General features: G+C 40.1%; 1 protein-coding gene across 9 annotated transcripts in view, besides 1 other annotated feature; it reads right to left on the bottom strand.

The window, feature by feature from the left end:
* ARHGAP44 (Rho GTPase activating protein 44) overlaps positions 1-23,861 on the bottom strand; it is a 202,146-nt gene that overhangs the window by 108,247 nt on the left and 70,038 nt on the right. The window lies entirely within an intron of this gene.
* Positions 23,386-23,725: an enhancer, noted in NCBI's record as "active region_11738". NCBI's record gives its function as "activates an Ori minimal core promoter by ATAC-STARR-seq in GM12878 lymphoblastoid cells {active_cell/tissue: GM12878}" and the evidence as "EXISTENCE:reporter gene assay evidence [ECO:0000049][PMID:35858748]".

The raw sequence follows: 23,861 nt of genomic DNA, 5'->3' as shown, positions 1-23,861 counted from the left end.
AAAAAACAATAAAAAAAGAAACTAATAATATAGTAAAAATCATATAGGTTAATTCTTTGAAAAAAACTAACAAAATGGCAAGCCTCTACAAGATTTACTCAGAGAAAAAATGAAAAAGAAACAGGTAAATAATAATAGGAAATAAAAGTGGAATATAAACAGAAAAGCTACAGAGATTTAAAAGATATATAACATTTGTGAGCAAGTTTTTAAAAAAAAAACTTAGACAAAATGGCCATTTAGAAAAACAAAAGCAAGACAAAATTCACTAAAGAATACAGAGGAAGCCTGAGTCATTCTATAAATATCAAAGAAATTAAACCAGTAATTAAACATCATTCCAAAAAGAAAACAGAAGACCAAGATGTTTTACAGGTAAATTTTCAAGAAATATTTCTTTCTAAACTTATACAAAGAATATAAATTCTTAATATGCCTAATATACTATTATGAAAAAAATAGAAAAAGAAGTAACACAGTGCAACTCATTCTGAGAAACAAGCATAACTGGATACCATAATTAGAAAAGGACAGTATAAAGAAAATTATAGACCATCTTCATGTATTAATGACACAGAAGTCCTAAAAAAATTAGCACATTATGAAAAAGTTTGATTAATTACTAGAGAATGTAAGAATGGTTTAACTTTAGCAACCTGCAAGTATAATTCATCACATGCACAAATTAAAGGGCAAAATAAGACTATCTCAAAAATGCAGACAAAGTATTTAATAAAACTCCATGTCTGTTGATGAAAAATATAACAGGGAAAATCCCTAACTTATTTTTAAAAAGCACCTATAAAACATTATTCTTACTGGAAACATGTTAAAAACATGCCCTTGGGGAGAGGGTGAAAATAAAATAAAATAAAACCATGCTCTTTAGAATCATGAGTAAGACAAGGATTCCCACTATTACTGTCTACCCAGCTCAGTAAGCAACTAAAATAGAAGATTTTAAAACTAAAAGGGAAGAACCTATACTGACATTTGAAGATTATATGTTTGTTCACAAAGATAATCCAAAGTAATCTACAGAAATTATTATAAATAATAAAACTTGAGAAAGATGGCTAGATACAAGATCAATATAACAAAATTAATATAACCAGTACATACTCAAAAGTCTAATTTAAAAATTCATTCCATACAGCAAAGAAACTTGAAATAAATTTAACAAAAGATGAGCAATGTCTTCATAGGGAAAAATTTAAAAATTAGTAAAAGACATGAATGAAGTCAGGTAAATGGAGAGATACAGTGTATATATGAATGGGAAGAATTAGTTCTGAAAACATATCAGTTCTCTTCATAGCAATGCAGCTTCAATTAAATATCCCAATAAGAATTTTAAAAAATAATTTCACAAGCAGAATCTAAAATTTATATGGAAGGCTTGGCACAGTGGCCCAGGACCGAAATCCTGGCACTTTGGGAGGCTGAGGCAGGAGGATCACTGAAGGCCAAGAGGCCAAGACTGGTCTTGACCAGCCTAGACAACATAGTGAGACGTTGTCTTACAAAAATGAAAACATAGCTGGGTGCGAAGATGCATGCCTGTAGTCCCAGCTGCTCAAGAGGCTGAGGCAGAAAGATCTCTTGAGCCCAGGAGTTCAAGGCCACAGTGAGTTATGATCATACCACTGTACTCCAGCATGGGCAACAGAGAGATCCTGTCTCAAAATAAACAAACAACAACAACAACAAAATAAATAAATAAAATTTGTATGGAAATGCAAAGGCTTAAGAAAAAATAAGATTATCCTTAAGTAGAATAAGTTGAGGGAGCTTCAGTGACCACATACTGAAACTTACTGAAGTCACAGTAATTAAGAAAGTATTATATCAATGTTTGCATCGGTCACTGAAACAGAAGGAAGGGTATGTTCAGGAATAAACTCACAAAAATGGAAAAAAATGACAGATAAAAAAGTGTTATCTAAGATTGGGGGAGAGGAAGAGGAGACATGACTTATTTAATTAGTAGTGCTGGGTCAACTGTTTATCCAAATGAGAAAAAAATAAAGAAATAGGGTTTCTACTCTACACGGTACACAAAAGTCAAATACCAATGAATTAAAGACTTAAATGTAAAAGGTGAGATATTAAAACGCCTAAGGGAAAAAATATAGAATATCTTATATTTTAGACCATTGAATGACATCACAGAAAATAAAAATAAGGAACACTAACCATAAAAGAAAAGATTAAAAGACATATTTATATTAATTGTCATGATGGTTGAAAAAACAATAAAAAGAAAGACACTAGAAAAAAGACATATATAAGAAAATACAACTGCCAGAAAAAAAAATCAACCCTAAAAAAAATGAGCTAAAGATCAGCACTTTTTAAAGGAGGAAATTGTAACTATTACTGAATATATAAAAGCTTGGTCAACTTCATTCGTAAGGAGGAATATACAAATTAAAACCACAAAGCATTACCATTTTATATCTGCCATTTTGGTAAAAATGTAGAAGTCTGACAATTCCAATTGGTGGAGATATGGAGTAATGGGAACCCACTACTATAAGGATAACTTGTTAAAAGCATTGTAGAAAACAATGTCATTATTTTGTATATCTGACAATGAAACTAAGTACCCACATGAAACACCTTTTAACAGAACAATATTCCCTCTACATGTGATGCACACTAATCTTTTCCACTATACTCATTAAGTTGATTTCACTACCACTAGTTGATTTCACTACCACTAGTGAGTGGGCCAGCATTCAAAAAATGGCCATCGAGAGGAGAATAAAGAAATTGGAATATATTCACATAATGTCATATTATATGGTAATAAAGAGCAATAAAATAAAGTTTACCCAAACAACATGAGTGACTCTTAGAGGTACAATGTTGATTGGAAAAAAATAACAAAAAGACTACTTAAATTACGATAACCATTTTCATAAAGCTCAAAAGCAAACACCATTAAACACCTTATTGGGAAAGGATAAATGTATATGTAATAAAATGAAAAGAAAGCAAGAGAATTATAAATACAAAATTTTTAATGATGGTTATCTCTGAAAAACGGAAAGAGACTGGGTTTGGGAAGGAAATACAGGTGGCTTCCATAGAATTGGTAATGTTTTGGTTCTAAATTTGCGTATAGGTTCATAGCTTTCTTCTTAACATTGTTTCATAATATATATACGAGCATATGGAATCTATGCATCAAATAAATAATATGAAAATTAACAAAAACAAAGTACTAAGTATTTAAGCATATTACATAAATGATTCCTACAAGATGAAAAACAAAATGTTCATTAGATTCTGTATATTATTGGGGTGTATATATATGTGCACACAACACACAGACACACAAGCCCTCAGACAACATGAGTTCATTTATAGATGGATTTTCTTCCACCTTTGCCACACCTGAGACAGTAAGACCAACCCCTCTCTATATTTTCTCTTCCTTATGATTTTCTTAGTATTTTCTCTTGTTTTATTATAAGAATACAGTATATAATACATATACAAAATATGTGTTAATTGACTACATATGTTATCAGTAAGACTTCAGGTAAACAGCAGTCTATTAGTAAAGTTTTCAGGGGGTCAAGACTTACACAAAAATTTTCAATTGCATGGGGGATGAGTGCCCCAAACCCCTTGTAAGTGTGTGTGTGTGTGTGTATATATATATATTTTTTAACTGTGTGTGTGTATGTGTATATATATATATACACATACACACACATATATTTATACATACATAAAATATAAATGTATATATAATTTTAACTGTAACACTTCTTTAAAGTTTTTACTACTTTTTGCTTAAAAACAAGTGCTGAGTTGTAGGGTATCCTAACAGCTAGCTACAGCAAGTACTCATACATCAACTACATGCAAATTAAAATCACCAATAAGCAATCCCACTCCTGGGTATCTACTCAGAGGAAAAGAAGTCATTAAACGAAAAAGATACTTACACATGCATGTTTATAGCAGCACAATTTGCAACTGCGAAATATGGAACCAGACCAAATGCCCACTGATCAATGAGTGGATAAAGAAAATGTGATATACACCATGGAATACTACTCAGCCATGAAAAGGAATGAAATAATGGCATTGCCAGCAACGTGGATGAAACTGTAGACCATCGTTCTAAGTGAAGTGACTCAGGAATGGAAAACCAAACATCGTGTGTTCTCACTCATAAGTGGGAGCTAAGCTATGAGGATGCAAAGGCATAAGAAGGACTTTGGGGACTTGGGGGAAAGGGTGAGAGGCAGGTGAGAAATAAAAGACTACACATTGGGTACAGTGTACACTGCTCGGTTGATGGGTGCACCAAAATCTCAGAAATCACCACTAATGAACTTATTCATGTAACCAAACACCACCTGTTCCCCAAAAACCTATTGAAATAAAAACAGTAAAATAAAATTACTGATACAAGTATTGCAGCTACATAGCTGATAAAAGAGGAATAAGCTCTCTTCTTTGAAGGAAAAAGATTTATGCTAGAAACAAATTCTGCTTAAATTTGTTCTTAAAAATGTAAGGTCATAAACTCATTTAATGATCAAAAGGATTTAAGAAAATTCTAGAACAGGTTTTACTGACTGGGGAAAAGACTCATGACTGTTGAGTTGGAAGGAGCAACAGAGGTCACTTAGCCCAATCTCCACTCCTCTGAGACTTCCCTCCTTCACTATTCCTGAAGCACTTCAGCAGAGCATTAGTGAAGGCCTGACCTATGGAAGCTAACCTTCAAGGAAACGCAGCGGCCTAACAGGTGATAGTATTTTTAGGAAGGCTGGTATTTTAGGTCTCATCTTTGTAAATGAAACAAGGATCATTATTCATCATCAAGGTAAAAAGCACTATCCACCATTTTCAAGGGATGAGTCATTCCACAGGATGACAGGCGCTGTGTAGATGACATCTGGGTACAAGTCATATCTTTTTAAACTTTCTGTATACGAGAGACTAAAAGCAAAACAGAGCCTGGGCAAACTGATCTTGAAATTGTGCACTGTTCCACTTATGAGTTTCAGGAGAACAATCAACACCACCCACAAAAATCTTGATTGCCACCAGTGTTATACATCAGCTTGTTAGGTCATGGCAGCGTTTCCCAAAATTTGTTCCATGAAAAAATAGATTCATAAGACGCTCTGAAAAAAAAAAAGGTTCTGTGAACAAACGAGTTAGAGAAACACTGAATACAATAATTTCCATTAACAGAATCCCACTACCATATTAAAGGCTCTGAAAAGGTCTGCAATACATAAAATGGCTTAATTTTAGTTCACCTGTCATTTCCCAATCTCTAAAAATATGAAAACATATTTCATGTAACGGCTAATTCATAACTGAGGTGTGGATGAACACCAGGTGAATACACTTTAGGAAATGTGGAGCTGATAATCACTACAGCACCTCTTGACTCTTGCAATATCTTCCTTAACATGCTACCTGGGAGTTCTGGCCTCATCCAAAAAGACATTTATGTGGACTAGAGTCAAGCAAGGAGGACTTCTCTGATGCCATCCAAGAAGTCACTGAACAAAGCAGCAAGGCTGCACTTAAGGCAGAGACAGTCTTTTTATTTTTTTAACCTATTAATTACAATAATGTTTATATATCTTTAGTGTTTTTTTTTTTTTAGACGGAGTCTCGCTCTGTCACCCAGGCTGGGGTGCAGTGGCGCGATCTCGGCTCACGGCAAGCTCCGCCTCCCGGGTTCATGCCATTCTCCTGCCTCAGCCTCCCGAGTAGCTGGGACTACAGACGCCCGCCACCTCGCCCGGCTAATTTTTTGTATTTTTAGTAGAGACGGGATTTCGCCGTGTTAGCCAGGATTATCTTTGGTCATTTTTTAAAGTTCTTTGAACATGTTAGCAAATTTAATACTTCCTAAATATCTTTTAATTAAATTTTCTTTAAATAACTAAGCATTGAAAATTTTATAAACCAACGATGATCTTAAAATGGTTGAGATTCTTTTTCCTTTTTTCCCTTAAAGAGTCTAAGCCAGGGTGGGTCTCTTGTAGACACCCCTATTTTCCAAGGGCATGTGATCAATCAAATCAACCTTTTCCAAATAGAAATGGCTATATGAACAGGACCAGTCTACGGTAAATGAATTTAGATGATGGTGTTCGTTTTCAAAACATCTTTAGTAAGTAACTAAAGGGGCAATGTAAAATGTTGCAGTTTGCTGGGTAAATCTTAACTGCAAAATTTCTTCTTTCAGAACTGTTTTCCTGCTGCATTTGCTGCTTTTTCAGCCATGATGCAGAGACGGTCTTATTACAAACAATTTCAGATAAATAAGTTTCCAACTTGCAACACTGACAAAACTGTCAAATCCTCTTAATTTTATATCACAAATATTTTCAGCAACTATTGGTCCCTTTCTACTTGCATAGTCCCGAGCTAGGCCCCATCAGACTCAGCCCTGGACTATCAAAATATCTTTTCTTCTTTTTTTTTTTTTTTTTTTGAGACGGAGTCTCACTCTGTCACCAGGCTGGAGTGCAGTGGCACAGTCTCGGGTCACTAAAACCTCTGCCTCCCGGGTTCAAGTGATTCTCTTGCCTCAGCCTCCCACGTAGCTGGGATTACAAGTGCACGCCACCATGCCCAGCTAATTTTTGTATTTTTAGTAGAGACAGGGTTTCACCATGTTGGCCAGGATGGTCTCGATCTCCTGTCCGTGATCCGCCCACCTCAGCCTCCCAAAGTGCTGGGATTACAGATTATGAGCCACCACGCCCAGCCCACAATATCCTTCTAACCCATCTCCCCATCTCCACCTCCCATTCATCCTTCACACTACCCTCAGACATTCCTCCTAATATTCCTCCCAGCAGTCCCTTTTGCCTAGTGCCTAGCAGGTGTTCTGCTGGCACTTTACAAGTATTGTATCACTATTTTAATGTGTACGCAGGATTTGTTTTATTGGCTGTGGTAAGACACACAGAGATGAACACGACTGTCAAGTTTATACTCACAGATCCCTAGAATCAGCAGGTAGCGCCACATGGGGACACACCAGGGCTGGTCAAGAGGCAGAGGGAGTGAGGGAAGAGTACCCGCAAAAGCCTTTCCTGTGGTTTTCGTGGGAGGGAATTAGTAAAGCAAGGTAAGCAAGCCGAACAGGTTTGGGATTGGATGCTTTTAATAATTTTGGTGGGCTCAAGGCTATAGGAAGGTCCTCAGTGTCCAGTACTTGGCCCTGGGATGACTTAGGACACATGGAAAGAGGTCAGAGCTGCAGGGGCCTGATAAAAAGAGCTGAGTGGGGGTATGGATTGGTTGATTTTGAATATCCAAGATATGCTCTCAGGCAAGGTGTTTTCTAGCTCGAGAAAGCAGTTAGAGCTTCTAGCTCTAACTGGTCAGTGTGACCCACATGATGGAATAACATAGAATATAAGAAAATATCATCAATACATTTTTTTTTTTGAGACGAAGTCTCGCTCTTGTCCTCCAGGCTGGAGTGCGATGACGCCATCTCAGCTCACTGCAAACTCCACCTCCCGGGTTCAAGTGATTCTCCTGCCTCAGCCTCCCCAGTAGCTGGGATTACAGGCACCTGCCACCATGCCTGGCTAATTTTTGTATTTTTAGTAGAGACGGGGTTTCACCATGTTGGCCAGGCTGGTCTCGAACTCCTGACCTCAGGTGATCCACCTGCCTTGGCCTCCCAAAGTGCTGGGATTACAGGCGTGAGCCACTGCGCCCAGCCTAATACATTTCTTAAAATAGCTTGAGGGTGTTATAATGCACCCCCCCTTTTTATTTATTTATTTATTTTTGAGATAGAGTATTGCTCTGTTGCCCAGGCTGGAGTGCAGTGGCACAATCATAGCTCACTGGAATCTTGAACTCCTGGACTCAAGCCATCTTCCCATCTCAGCCTCCCGAGCTGGGGACTACAGGCACGTACCACCACACCTGGCAATTTTTAAAACTTTTAGTAGAGACAAGGCCTTGCTATGTTGTCCAGGCTGGTCTCAAATTCCTGGGCTCACGCAATCCTCCTGCCTTGGCCTCCCAAAGTCCTGGGGTTCATAAGCATGAGCCACCACGCCCAGACCCCAATTTTTTATACAAGAAAATGAATCTACTCTAAATTAAGTCATGGTTTTAGCACAGTATGCCAAAGGGTGGTCCCTGGACCAGCAGCATCAGCATCACTTTGAAGATTTGTTAAAAATAAAAATTCTCAGGCCCCAGCTCAGACCCATAGAATCAGAAATTCTGGGAGTGGGGTCAAGCAATCTGTGTTTTAACCAACCCTCCAGATGATTCTAAGACATGTTCAGAACCACTGGTGTGTGGAGTAAAATCCAAAATATCTGACCTGGAGCTCACCCACTCTGAGTTAACAAACTCATCTCTTCAATGTCTTCTAAATCTTCCCCATTTTCCATCCCACCCCCACCCCGCCATCTCCTGACCCCCATTCTGTCCCTCTCCAATCCTGCCCTGCCCGATATACTCTGTGTTCCAGGCATATCTAACTTTCCCTTTTTCCCCAGACAATCCTTCGTGGGATTCACAGCACCACCTGCACCCAGCACAGTCACCTGGCATAGCAAGTATCCTGCACTTGCTTATTAAAATGGAGTAGAATGTTTAATACAATTGGGCACAACTGCCTTTTTTTTTTTTAAGACAGAGTTTCACTCTTCTTACCCAGGCTAGAGTGCAGTGGCACACTCTTGGCTCACTGCAACCTCCACCTTCTGGGTTCAAGCGATTCTCCTGTCTCAGCCTCCGAAGTAGCTGGGATTTACAGGTGCCCACCACCACACCCTGCTAATTTTTATATTTTTAGTATAGACGGGGTTTCACCATGTTGTCCAGACTAGTCTCAAACTCCTGACCTCAGGCGATCCACCTGCCTCAGCCTCCCAAAATGCTGGGATTACAGGTGTGAGCTGCCGCGCCTGGGCACAACTGCTTTTAATGCCCTCTCTTGCCCATTGTGGCAGGCTCTGTTACCTTGTTAACTGGCTCTCCTAAAGCTCATCTCCACCTCTGCTTCTTTGCTGCCTCCCACGACAGAGGGTGGAAAGCCATACTGTCCCAGTTTCCCCTGAAACTAGGGGGACCCATGTGACCCGGTCTTCAGCCATGAGACAAAAACAGAAGTATGCTGCAAAGTCCTCTGTGAAAGCTTTGCTTTCCTAATAAAAATGATTAAGACTCAACCGTCAGCCTCTTTTTCTTCTTTCTATTTTGAATGCTGACATAATGGCAGGAGTGGCAGCAGCCATCTTGTAACCATGAAGGATTGGCACAGAGAACTGCAGAAATGGCAGACATGACATCACTGACTCACTGTTCCATCCCCAACAACCACTTATACCTGGACTTATTTTCAACAGAAACAAACTCTGTCCAAAGCCATTCGTTCTAAGTGGTGGTTTCTTTCCTTCTTTCTTTCTTTTATTTATTTATTTATTTATTTGTTTATTTATTTATTTATTTATTTTTTGAGACTGAGTTTTGCTCTGTCATCCAGGCTGGAGTGCAATGGCGTGATCTCGGCTCACTGCAACTTCCACCTCCTGGGTTCAAGTGATTCTCCTGCCTCAGCTTCAGCCTCCCCAGTAGCTGGGATTACAGGTGCCCGCCACCATGCTCAGCTAATTATTGTATTTTTAGTAGAGACGGGCTTTCACCATGTTGGCCAGGCTGCTCTCAAACTCCTGACCTCAGGTGATCCATCTGCCTTGGCCTCCCAAAGTGCTGGGATTATAGGCGTGAGCCACCAAGCCTGGCTGGTGGTTTGCGCCCAGCTGGTGGTTTCTTATACTATACTTCAATGCAATTCTAGTTTCATATACTTGCAGCAGAGGAACACATTTTAAGATTAGTTTTATTCAGAGTAAAAATGCAATTATTTGATGTTCTTGAAATTGCACATATTTCACACAAATCATTAGAGCAATTATTGACTTCTCCCTAAAGCTCTTCATATAACACTAAGCTGTATATAAACCTAAGTACAGAAATACTCACTAGACAGATAGTTTGGAGAGTCATTGAGAAAGGCTTCCTGGAGGAGGAGGGCATAGGCAAGCCTTGAAGGCTGGGTAAGATCTGCCACATAGAGACATGGGAAAAGTCTGAAATGGCAAAGCAGCCACCAAAAGCTGTCCCTTAGCAGCAATGAAAGGCTATTAAATAAAGAGAATTAAGCTAAGGAGAGGAAAGTCACCTCATGGGAATTAGGGGACAAGAGAGAGGAGGGGAAAAAAATGGCATGGTTACTCTAATGTGGGGATGCAAAGCAGCCGCCAAAAGCTGTCCCTTAGCAGCAACGAAAGGCTATTAAATAAAGAGAATTAAGCTAAGGAAAGGAAAGTCACCTCATGGGAATTAGGGGACAACAGAGAGGAGGGGAAAAAATGGCATGGTTACGCTAATGTCGGGATAAATCCACGTTTTCAAAACAATGTTACCGCGGAATTGACTAATTTAAGCACAGAGAAAACTTACTAAAAACCAAAATAAAATTCCTAAGTTTCTGCTGAGACTTTCAAAGTAAAGTCATGTATGATTGAAGTTCCTGAAAAAAGAAAGGGAAAATAGAATGGAAATTTTTAAGAAAGAGGGAGAAAAAAAAGAGATACAGATAAATATTAATTTTCATAGAGCTGAAGAGACACAAAAGTCCTCAAACTGAAAGGTCCTGAACTGTGAGGGGCAGAGTGAAAAATAAAGAGATCCTAAAAAGCTTTCAGAGGGGAAAAAACCATCAGGCTGCAACAGTAACCAGTAACAGAATTTATCAGCAATATCGATGCTAGCATATAACAGAGCAATTCCAAAGTACTGAATGAAAATTCGCTTGAATCTAAAAGTTCATATTATGGTAACTTATCAGTCAAATATAGAAGCAAAATAAAATCATATTATTTAGGAGGTTACCTATCTTTCGAGAAAGTTTCTTGAGAATGTACTCCAAGAAAAATAAGGATAAAAACCTAATCCAGTAAGATATGATGGACTTAAATCCAAGTCCAGCGAGAAGAAATTGCAGGATGTCAGACCTGCAGGAGGCTTAGAAAGCAGACTAACCAAATTAGAATTCAGTGGGCTCCAAGATAAAGAAAGCAGTCAAAATAACAGATGGAATTAGTAAATTGGAAGGTATGAAGGCATATGATTCTCATGACAGGAAAAACAAGATAGTCCATAAAATTGCAGGCAAAAAAATATGCCCAGGAAAGTTATGATTAAAAGATGAATCAAAGAAAAGTCACAGACAATTGAATACTTTGTAGAATGCAAGAAAACAGAATCCATTTGGCCTTGGCACTAAGAAAATTCTCCTTTATATGGAATAGGTATCTTGATATTGGATCCACAGAGAAGGGGATGTGTATTTGTCCTTTCTCACATGGCTATAAAGAAATACCTGAGACTGGGTAATTCATAAAGAAAAAAAGTTTAATTGGCTTGCAGTTCTGCAGGTTATAGAGGAAGCATGATGCTGGCATCTGCTTGGCTTCTGGGGAGGCTTCAGGAAACTTACAATCATGGTAGAAGGTGAAGGGGAAACAGGCACATCTTACATGGAAGGAGCAGGAATAAGAGAGAGACGGGGGGAGGTGCTACATACTTTTAAACAACCAGATCTCAGGAGAACTCATTCATTCACTATCACAAGAACAGTACTGGTATGGTTTGGATTTGTGTCCCCACCCAAATTTCACGTTGAATTGTTAATTCCCAATGTTGGACGAGGGGCCTAGTGGGAGGTGACTGGATCATGGGAGTGGATTTCCCCCTTGTTGTTCTCAAGACAGTGAGCTCTCACGAGATCCAGTTATTGAAAAATGTGTAGCACCTCCCTCTTTGCTCTCTTCCTCCTGCTCTGGCTACATAAGACATGATTGCTTCCCCTTCACCTTCCACCAGGACTGTAAGTTTCCTGAGGCCTTCCCAGCCACACTTCCTATAGAGCCTGTGGAACCATGAGCCAATTAAACCCCTTTTCTTTATAAATCACCTAGTCTCAGGTAGTTCTTTACAGCAGTGCGAGAATGGACTAATACAAGTACCAAGGGGGATGGTGCGAAACCATTCATGAGAGACCACCCCCACGATCCAATCACCTCCCACCAGGCCCCACCTACAGCATTGGGGATTACAATTTGACGTGAGAGTTGATGGGGACACAGAACCAAACTGTACCAGGTGGTAATCAACATGTTACTTAGGTCCACAAGGAACTACATTTAAGGAGCCACGATAAAAGCACTTAATTGACTTTTGAACTTTTAGAGCTAACTTATGGACAAGGCATAGAAGGCCAAACTATGTGATTACGAAACAAGAAATGTAAATTGTATCAATCTTCAAAATGTAAACAAACAAAAAGAGAAAAGGAAGAAAGGCGGGAAAGAAAGTAAAAGAAGAGAGAGAAAAAGAAAAAAATTGACCAAAGCCAAAAGTAGAGAAGGAAAGAAAAGAGTAGAAGAGTCCCATTCCTTAATGCTCACTAAAGGCAGTCAAGAGAAACTGAACTGCCCATGCTAACTGCAGGGAGTTTTAAATATAAGTAAAAAGGTAATATAACAATTTTAAAAATGGGTATGGAGGAGAAAGTGGGTGGTATAATGGAACCAAAACCTCATCTCACCAGCAGGAAGTAAATAGTGTGTAAATAACATATGTGTATGTAAACTAGCAGTATAAACCTATTATGTAGAGAGATGGAGGTAAATCACCAGAGGAAATAAACACAGAAGGTATTAAAAAGTGTCTCCAGGGAGCAGGACTAGGAGCTGGATCAGGCTAAGTGGGCTGATACCTTTTCATTATAAACCCTTCTCCACTACCTGATTTTGAAAACCACATCCACCTATTATTTCAATTTTGTTTCTTTAAGGACAATACACAGGGTTGCTGGAGGTCTGGAAATAGGGATGCTCATCCACTGCTGCTGGAAGTACTACCTGATACAACCTTTCTTGAGGGCAATCTGGCAGTACGTATTAAAAGGCTAAAAATGTAGAAAACCTTCCTCAAAGTAAAGAAGGAATTCAGGCTGGGCACAGTGGCTTGTACCTGTAATCCCACAGTACTGAGGCGGGAGAACTGCTTGAACTCAGGAACTCAAGAATAGCCTGGGGAACATGATGAGACCCTGTCTCTACAATAAAATACAAAAATTAGCTGGGTGTGGAGGTGCACACTTGTAGTCTCAGCTACTTGGGAGGCTGAGGTGGGAGGATCTCTGGAGCCTGGGAGTTGGAGGTTGCAGTGAGCTGAGATCACGCCACTGCACTCCAGCCTGAGTGACAGAGCAAGACTCTATCTCAAAAAAAAAAAAAAAAAAGACGGTATTTGTTGACAAGAAATAATTGAGGATGGAAAAAAAAGTAATCAGAGCATTGCTCTATAAAGGTCTATGTTTGTACTTCATCTTTTGTCCCCAACCCTTCACAGACTGGAAAAATATAATGGGGGTTATTTAAATAAATTGACTTTCAATATTAAAAAGGATGGCATTTATTTGACATGTAAAGCTATTGAAGATATATTAAGTGTGAAAGGGCAGGCTATAAAACAGTATGCATAGTAAAAAAAAAAAGTTACATATATGTATATGCAGAGAAAAAATACATTAAGGTATAAGTCAAAGTGTTATTAGTTCTCTGTTCTTATTGTTTTAAATTTTTTAATTCTTCTACAATGAACATTACATACATTGTAAAATGTATTTTCAAAAGTGGTTGCCAGGGGATGAGAGAAGGGGAGTGGGGAGTTACTGTTTCATGGACACAGTTTTAGCTTCAAAGACGGAAAGAGTTGTGGAGATGGGCGGTGGCAATGGCTGCACAACAATGTAAACACACTTAACACCACTGAACTGTATACCTGAAAATGGTTAAGATGGTAAATTTTATTATGTTGTATGTATTTTTCCAGTTGTAAAAATAAAAAAAAAATTTAAAAATGACAAAATAGTGAAGATTGGAATATTTTGTATACCACATGTTATAAATTTATGAACAAACCAAGTTATAGATAGCTTATCTTAATATTGCTAATGTTAACCAAATGACTACATTTGTAAGAGGAGTTATGAAAACACAGTATATGTTTTAGATTCTCTCCAAATGTTACCTTTTCCTTCGTCCTAAAATGGGAATTTTCTTGCTCGTTCCAAAATATCTAGACATTATTTTTAAATCTCTAATCCAAATCCTATATTCTTCACTGCTCTCTGAGTCTCTCCAACAACATGAATCTTTCCCAAGGTTATTTTCGAGCCCCAGGCTTAAAACTTTCTTCTCAAAAATAAGATGTTTTAACCTCAAATGTCTTTACTTTTATTATACCAAACCCTTAAATATGTATTTCTTGTGTCCTCCAAATAATTTTATGCTCTTTTATGGTAATATATAACATATTTTTAATATATATATATGTTGGGCGCGGTGGCTCACACCTGTAATCCCAGCCTTTGGGAGGCCAAGGTGGGTGGATCACGAGGTCAGGAGTTCCAGACCAGCCTGGCCAATATGGTGAGACCCTGTCTCTACTAAAAATACAAAAACTAGCCAGGCGTGGTGGCACATGCCTGTAATCCTAGCTACTTGGGAGGCTGAGGCAGGAGAACTGCTTGAACCCGGGAGGTGGAGGTTGCAGTGAGCCAAGATCGCGCCATTGCACTCCAGCTCTAGGTGACAGAGCAAAACTCCGTCTCAGAAAAAAAATTAAAAAAATAAATAAAATATATACACATTTCATATATATATATATATATATATATATATATATATATATATAAAATGCATATATATGACTTTTTAAATGACTTTTTGGCTTTTTAGCCTCTCAGTTTATTGCACATGGATTAGGGTTGTGAAGAATGGACTTTCTCCACGATCTTGCATGTGGTTTTGGAATGTAATATAATGGATATGGTGGTTTTGGTTTTATTTGATTTCTGTAGTTGGTAAGGACTGAACTGTGTTCCCCAAAAATTTCATATTAAATTCTAATCCCAGTACTTCAGAATGTGACCGTATTTGAAGATATGGTCTTTAAAAGAGGATTCCGGTAAAATGCAGTCATTAGGGTAAGCCCTAATCCAGTATGACTGGTGTCCCTATAAGAAGAGGAAGTGACAAGGATACAGACACACACAAAAGGAAGACCATATGAAGACGCAGAGAGAAGATGGCATCTACAATATAAGGAGAGAGCCCTCAGAGGAAAACGACCCTCCGACACCTCTTTCATGGACTTCCAGCCTCCAGAAATAGGAGGAAAGAGTCTTTGTAGCACAACGCTCTCAGTCTGGTACTTTGCAATTGCAGCCCAAACAGACTCATCAGAAGCATATTCTTCACCTCCCTCATCCACCGTCTCTTTGTCACTGCAAATTCTGAGGGCTCTGGGACCTTTGTGGTTATAAGGGTTGATTATAACGTAATCATGGAGCTGTAGAATAGAGTAGGAAGCATTGCCTGCACTAACCACATCACCTCTCTACTCCCAGTTTTGGTTTCTTATACGTTAGGTGCTATTCAACAAGATTTATGTGGTTTGTCAGAGACCATGGCATAAACCTGGTCGAATAGCATCTAATCTATAAGAAAAGTGTCCCAAGAGGGTTCTAATCACTCCTTCACATTATTTTCCTTGATATCTGTCATTGAAAAAAAGATTCCCTGGGTGGAGTTTATGTGTGACTCTGTGTAACGTGTAAGGATAGATTCCATGACTCCCAAAGTCTTTTGCCAGCCTAATGTTCTGGGTACTGTCCTTAAAGACAAACCTGTGATCAAGTCCAACAGAAAGTAGCTTGTAAATATAGGTCTCCAAGGTGCAAGTCTGTGATGCTGAAATGACAAAATATCCTGGTGCACAATTGTGACTTGCAAATTTCCCCTGGGAAGCCTGCCCCGCTTCCTGTAAGCAAGACTATGGAGACAATTCACTTTGGTGAGAGGACCAAGACAAGAAACAGGGACTTACTCTTTACATGCCTCCCACCCCTGGCATTTCTAGCAGGGCAGGGCTATGACGGACTCATAAAAAAGTTAGCTTGCTTGGAAGGCTGCTCTTCCCTGATCACCTCCGTGAGACAGGAGAAGAGTCCATGTCTAGATAAAACATTAATGTGAATGCTTTGTGGCCTCTCTTTTGGTATCCTTCCCCATCCCCCATAATCCTGCTGGAACTGTCAGTTGGTTCCTTCTTATAACTGTGACCTGTCATGTTTCCTTGTGAGTGACAGGTGAACATACTAGATCTCTCCTCTCACTTTCTGTAATTCCACATTCTTCATAAGTATGACTCAATCAATCTCCAAACCACACTGTTATAGAAGATCAGAATATGCTACCCTATAATATGCCACTTTGGATAAGGATTATTTTGAGCTGTAGGCAAATGAGAATCAACAAATGCAGAAAGAAGCCTTCTCAGAGGTCCCCTTATCTGGTCAAAAGCAGAAACTCCTGAGAAGTAAAGGCTGCCGTAAATCCCCTCTCTTGGGGAAGTTTTACGGACATGAAGAAGATGAAAAGTCAGCACCAAGACAGACCTGCACAAACACTGCTAAGATAGTATGAGTTTCCCCCACACATTTACCTTCCCAGGGTCTACAGCTCCTAGAAGACTAAAAACCTTTTCCCTTTGTCTTTTCACCTCTCTCTAAATTTATTCTTCTTTGCTAAGATGCTGTACAAGCCCAGGTTCCAATAACCCCTATGAATTACTCATCACTGAGTTTCTCTCTCCTGCATGTATACACACTGCACATGTTAATAAACTCTGTTTCTCTCTTGGTAATCTTTTGCCGGTCTAATTTCCAGGGCCCCGGCCAGAGATCTTAAGAGGGTAGATTTTTTTTTTCCTCTCTCTCTCTTACACTGTGAAGGCTTCTTAGCAGATATGCAGCCACACATGAAGTTAGGCAACTGTGGTCTAGGCTGATGCTGTGGGGTGCAAAGGCAGGGTGCTGATTATGTGTTTTGAGGTTAGAACTTACGGGTAAAACTCTTACAAGCAAAATAACCTCAATTCATTTAGGGTCAAAAATATTAAGGCAGACGATGAGATACAGATCTGTAAGTTGCCTTCTGAGGATCAGCTACCTCCCTGTTGTAGGGCAATTTACCCAGGAGATTAAAATCTCAATTCAATTCATACAGGAACTTCCAACCCCTAAAATCATAATTTAACTTCTTCTCTAATATATTAGTAAGAGATAATTCTGTCCTCCTATCCAGCTACTCTGCCTCCTCAGTCTTCTCCCCTGATCCATTAGAGGAAACATTTAGAACATGTTTACTTTTCCAGTGTCTTCCACCCCCAACTCCCACCCCACTCTTGAGTTTGGTTGAGATTTGACTTCAAGCTATTATTAGGGTTTTCACTTCCAGTTTGTCTTTGTCATTAAGTAATGACTTTGCTGCAACAGTCATTACTTTGTAATTAAGTAATGACTTCGCTGCAATAGTCATTACTTACGATACAGTATAAAGTCCTGGTAAAAATAATCTCATTTCCTTATACTAAATGACATATTCATCACAAGATTCACTGCTCACTACTGATTTCCTTTTTTTTTTTTTTTTCTTGAGATGAGTCTCGCTCTGTTGCCCAGGCTGGAGTGCAGTGGCACAATCTCGGCTCATTGCAAGCTCCGCCTCCCAGGTTCACGCCATTCTCCTGCCTCAGCCTCCCAAGTAGCTGGGACTATAGGTGCCCGCCACCACGCCCAGCTAATTTTTTGTATTTTTAGTAGAGACAGGGTTTCACCATGTTAGCCAGGATGGTCTGGATCTCCTGACCTCGTGATCCACCCTCCTCAGCCTCCCAAAGTGCTGGGATTACAGGCGTGAGCCACCGCACCCAGCCTCACTACTGATTTCTGACCTCTTACCTTTCGGCTTGTTGAGATTTCTACTGATGTTGACACTTTACCAATTGTTTTCCCCAGTGAAATTACACAAGTAATAAACTCTAGGCCATGATGCCCTTAATAAGTTACAAGAGTAATAAACTCCAAGGCCTTCATGTGTCAAACTTGCAAACAAAAAATGGTTATTGAGCTTGATGTAGAATTGTGTATTGCAATTTTTTTTTGTATAAATCATCTACAGATATTGTTCTATTGTCTTCTTCTACTTTCTAGGGCTGGTGATGAGAAATCTGGCACTAGTCTGATTCTTCTAATTCTGCCTCTCCAGATGCATAAAACTTTCTCTTTATCCATAAAATTCTAGGATTTCACCAGGAAATGTCTATACATGTAGTTTGAAATATTCATTCACCTTGCCTGACTTTTCAACTCAGAGAACTTTTCTTCTACTTTTATTTAACTATTATTCTTCTTCTCTCTAGCTCTTTTTCTCCTCGAGGCACTCTTGTTATTCATGTTAAGTCTAGTGAATCTGTCCTCCAAGTTTCGTATCTTTTTCCTCTACATGTCTCTAAGTGTCTTTATTCTATGGGAAAAAGAATTTCTTCCCCTTCATCTTTCAGAATAGTGATTATGTTCTTAGCAGTGATCTTCTTTTAGCACATCTGAAAAAAATAGTTTTTATATTGTGGAAACAATGCTTTTAGTTCCATACAGTCTTTTATTTTTTTGCATGCTAATTATCTTTCTTATTCCATTTTGTTAAAGTACTCTTCTCTCTCCTTATTCAGTTCTATTTCAATAGCTGCCATATTTTCTAGTTTAGAGTTTGTGCTCATAACTTCGTGTTACTAAGACTTCCTAAGCAAGCTGTGATGTTTCTCTGCCTAGTCACAGTCGTGTGATCCCTCAGTACTTGTACAGGTTAGATATTTGTGTTGAGTGGTAGAACAACAGCAGATGGTGGGAGATACAATTTCTTGTAGGCTGGTGTTGACGGAGTTAGGTGAGGCACTGGAAGAATACTAGATGCAAATACTCATCATGTCCTAATCACAAGGAGTAATTCAGACCTCCAGTTCAGCCTTCTCTGAATCTCTTGTGGTTGACGGTATCAAATAGCTCCTTCAAAACCAACAGTGGCTACCCTAAGCCTGAGGAGAGTAACACTCTGGCCTCTCAATTCACACCAGTTGCCAAAGAAGACAAGAAAAGAAAAATCATACACACAAATGAAAAACTAAGCTTAGCACTGTCGCATCTCTGGCCATTTTAGATGAAATCCCAGCCTCATTCACAATTGCCAGAGTAGTACTTCCAGCCCATATGACCACCAGAGTCTTGCTACCACTCCACCGAGAGGTGAAGTTTATTTCTAACCCCTTGAACCAGGGAAGGTCTTTTTGACTGCTTCATCAAATAAAATGTGACAGTAATGACATCCCAGGGTAGGTGACATGGATGCTCAGTCCTGGAACCCCACCACCATACTGTGAGGAAGTCCAAGCCACATGGCGTGGCCACATGAGGGTCTTTAGCCATCAGCTCCAGTTAAGGTCCCAGTTGATGGCCAGCACAGATGGACAGACAGGTGAGCGAACACAACTCCAAATGACACCAGCCCCAGCATTTAAGCCCATGTTGAATGCGAGAGAAATGGGTTGTTCTCTGAGCCCTGTCCAAATAGCAGATTCAAGAGGAAAACAAATATTGTTATTTTAAGCCACAAGTTTGGAGGTGGTATGTTGGAGAGCATTAGATAAGAATAGCCACCATTTTATTTGTCCCCTGTGCTATTCCCCAGAAGAAATCAGGGACATGGACTCAGACCAGCTTCTCCCTAGAATCCTTTAGGATTAATACTTGGATGCAGAATTTTCATATTGCTCAAGAATTTAGTATTGTCTCCAGGTCTCTCCTTGATCTTAGAAATGGGTTTAAAAAGATTCTAGAACTATCCACTTGTGAGAGGTAAAATGGGAGGAAATTGGCACAATAATTTTATTTTATAAAAATACACTTAGCAAAAGATGGCATGCTAAATATTATGTCAGTTCTCAGATTGAGACTCAAATATCTTGAGTTATCTCAGTGAATGACATTAGATTTTTTACACATTGTAGGGAAAAACAAACTTACATGAATTCACTAAACTAGGTCAAGGAATTTTAGAAATGTGGTATATAATAGGATTAGCAATCAGAAGTTCTTATTTCTCGTTGGGCTGTTTCCAAGCAGTCTATTCTCCAGTGAAGATGCTTAGCTTCTCCAGGTCTCAGTTCCCTCATCTGTTAAGTAAGGAAATTAGGTGCAATAACCTTTAAAAAAATTTTTTTAATTTTTTAAAATTATTTTAATTTTATTTATTTATTTATTTTCACAGAGACGAGGTCTCACTTTGTTGCCCAGGCTGGTCTCAAACTCCTGGGCCCAAGCGACCCTCCTGCCTCAGCCTCCCAAAGTGCTGGGATTATAGCCATGAGACATTGTGCTCGGCCTTTTTTTTTATTTTATTTTTTTAATAGACAGGGTCTCACTCTGTGGCCCAGGCTGGAGTGCAGTGGCACAATCATGGCTCACTGCAGCCTCAATCTCCCACCTCAGCCTTCTGAGTAGCTGGAACTACAGGTGTATACCACCACTCCCAGCTCATTTTTTTAAACTGTATTTTTATAGAGACAGGATCTCACTATGTTGTCCAGGCTGGTCTCGAACTCCTGGCTTCAAGTGATCCTGCCACCTCAGCCTCCCAAAGTACTGGGATTATAGGCCTGAGCCACTGCACCTGGCCCCAATCATCTTAAAAAGGATTCTACCAGCTCAGCCATCCCGTGCAAGTATAATGAACATTCATATGTAGATACCAAGAACACTCTGTACATCCAACCCCATCATTTCACAGATGAAAGACCTGGTAAGAACCTGAAAGATTATGATCCCTGGGAAAGAAAGAAGCAGAATTTCCAGTACTGGAACAATGTGCCACCATGACACTCTGTCTGTGGGTCATCAATGCAGATGTTTTTGATAAAAGGCTGCCCCCTATGCTCCAAAGGACAATGAAGGAGGAATTCATTTATGTTGTGCCTGCGTTACCAACTCAGGAGGAGGACACATGTAATGATGGTGGCAGTCAATTGATTGACTCAATGACTAAAACGTGCAAGGGTAGAGTTGGCCTTAGTGGCCCTAAGGACAACACTGAGACATGGTCTTGCTCCCCGTGTCTCTCAGGTCTGTTTTTCTTAAGGTTGACTCCATTCTTTGGCAGACTCTCCCCTCACAGATCCAAGGTGGCTGACAGCAGCTTCAGGTTGAAAGCCCATCTGCTCAGGAATCCCAAGGGACCCAGCCAAGGTCCCAGAGTTGAATCTCACTGACTGTAGTAGACAAAATAATGCCCCGCCTCCCAAAAGTCCACATCCTAATTCCCAGCACCCTGAATATGTTACCTTACATGGCAAAGGAGACTTTGAAGATGGTTCAGATAGACACTGAGATAAGCAGAGTCTGCAGATGATCCAGGTGGGTCCAGTGTCACCCATGGGTCCTTAATAGTGGAAGAGGAAGGCCAGCCACAGTGGCTTACTACTGTAATCCCAGCACTTTGGGAAGCTGAGGCGAGTGGATCATTTGGGGCCAGGAGTTCAAGACCAGCCTGGCCAACATGGCAAAACCCTGTCTCTACTAAAAATACAAAAACTAGCCAGGCGTGGTGGTGGGTACCTGTAGTCCCAGCTACTCGGGAGGCTGAGGCAGGAGAATCGCTTGAACCCAGGAGGCGGAGGTTGCAGTGAGCCGAGATTGCGCCACTGCACTCCAGCGACTGAGCAAGATTCCATCTCAAAAAAAAAAAAAAGTGGAAGAGGAGGCAGAAGAGGAATTCAGAGGGAGATGTGACCAAAGAAGGATCAGAGCGATGTGGTATGAGGACAGCACAACCCAGTGCTACTGGCTTTGAAGACGGCGGAAGGGGCCACAAGGCAAACAAAGTGGGCTGCCTCCAGAGAAACCTGAGAAGTCAGGGAAACTAATTCTCCCCTAGAGCCTCCAGAGAGCAGCAACATCCTGCTGCCATCTTGATTTTAGCCCAGTTAAGACCTGTGCCAGACTTCTGACCTCCAGAACTGTAAGATGATAAATTTGTGTTGTTTTAAAGTCACTAAGTTTGTGATAATTTATCATAGCAGGAATAGAAAAACAATATACCATGGCCAGGCACACGGTGGCTCACGCCTGTAACCCCACCCCTTTGGGAGGCCAAGGTAGGCAGATCGCTTGAGCTCAGGAGTTTGAGACCACCCCGGCCAACATGGCGGAACTCCACCTCTATAAACATACAAAAATTAGCCAGGTGCAGTGGCTCACGCCTGTAACCCCAACACTTTGGGAGGGCGAGGTGGGCAGATCATTTGAGTCCAGGAGTTCGAGACCAGCCTGGCCAACATGGTGAAACTCCATCTCTACAAAAATACAAAAGTTAGCTGGGCATGGTGGTGCGTACCTGTAGTCCCAGGTACTTAGGAGGCTGAGGCACAAGAATCACTTGAACCCTGGAGGTGGAGGTTGCAGTGAGTTGAGATCATACCACTGCACCAAGAGTGACAGAGCAAGACCTTGTCTCAAAAAAAAAAAAAAAAAAAAAAAGAATAGAAAAAAACCATATACCGATTGGTCCAATTTGATTCACCTGCTCTGCGTGAATCAATGATTTTGGCTAGACCCAAGTCACATCCCTTCCCTGAATCAAAGGGTGAAGTTAGTCCCACTTACACCACACGGCTCAAGAGTAGGGAAGGGATAGCTCCTTGAAGAAAACCAGGGGCTATAACCAGAGAAATGGGGAATGGAAAATAAGCAGGAAAATAAAAAAGATATCCAATCTATATGAGGACAAATGAGAGGGCCAGAAAAAACCCTGGATATATCAATAGATGTATCTGTAGATATTGTAGAGATAGAGCTTCACCATGTTGCCTAGCACTGGAAATGCTGGAGATAAAACTTAGGCTACTGATGACATTCCAACTTTGCTTCCCTCTGAAGGTCACAGCTTTTGAAGAAAGAGGAAACACCAATAAATGGAACAGCCAAAATCCATGGATAGAGGGTGCTATATAACAAGCCTGCACTTTCCAGACAGTTATCTGACAAGAGACAAGAGGGTATATCGCAAATGCTATTGTCAGGAGCCTTGTTGACCTTATAAGGAATTCTTTAAAGTATAAATTGAAGTGGGGAGGGAAGAATAGCTATATAAAACTGAACAGCTGGATAATGTCAATGTATTAATTATATTTTCCTACTTTCTATATTCTTGATGCTGTGGCATTTGGAGTCTGTGGACCAAAGAAACTGCCCCTCCCAGGATTAATTAATTCCTAGAGGTAACAAGTAACTCACTTGTGGGCATGCCTTTGATATGCCAACCAACTACTTGGAGTCCAGCCCTCCAGGAGTCTGCTTTTCTGCTAGGCAGTTCTTCTGCCCTAATCTCCACGGAGCCAGGTACAACTAGGGACCACCCCTATAGCCCAGAGCCTGCTTCATAGTAAATTTTTTTTTCATGAACCACAGAGATTTAAGCTTGACAGTGAACTTCTGCCACGTGTTGACTTTGCTTTGCCCACTCCTTTCGGTGTTAACTGCAATCAAGGCTAATGCGTGCAGCTCCCTCTTTCCGTGCCTGCTCATGTGGCTTTGGTGCTTTCCCGTGTGGCCCTGAATGGGCTCATGTGCTTACTGTTTCTTGGCGACTGCGAATGTAATAAAACACTTCTTCCTTCCTGGCAATCGTTTTTGCATCTGTGTGTATTATACCTGCTCCAAACAAGTCCTGGGTACATTTATAGAACAGCAAAAGATGGCAGATATGACTCAACAAGAATAACAATGAGACATCTCAGGAAATATTAAGAGAGAATAACAGAAGAGTCAGGAAACAATCTTTAGGCCCCAGCGCCAAACC

The sequence above is a fragment of the Homo sapiens genome, chromosome 17, assembly GCF_000001405.40.
Source record: "Homo sapiens chromosome 17, GRCh38.p14 Primary Assembly".
NCBI classification, from domain to species: Eukaryota; Metazoa; Chordata; class Mammalia; order Primates; family Hominidae; genus Homo; species Homo sapiens.
The sequence above is the reverse complement of the archived record's forward strand: the minus strand, read 5'-3'. Positions and strand labels throughout refer to the sequence as shown.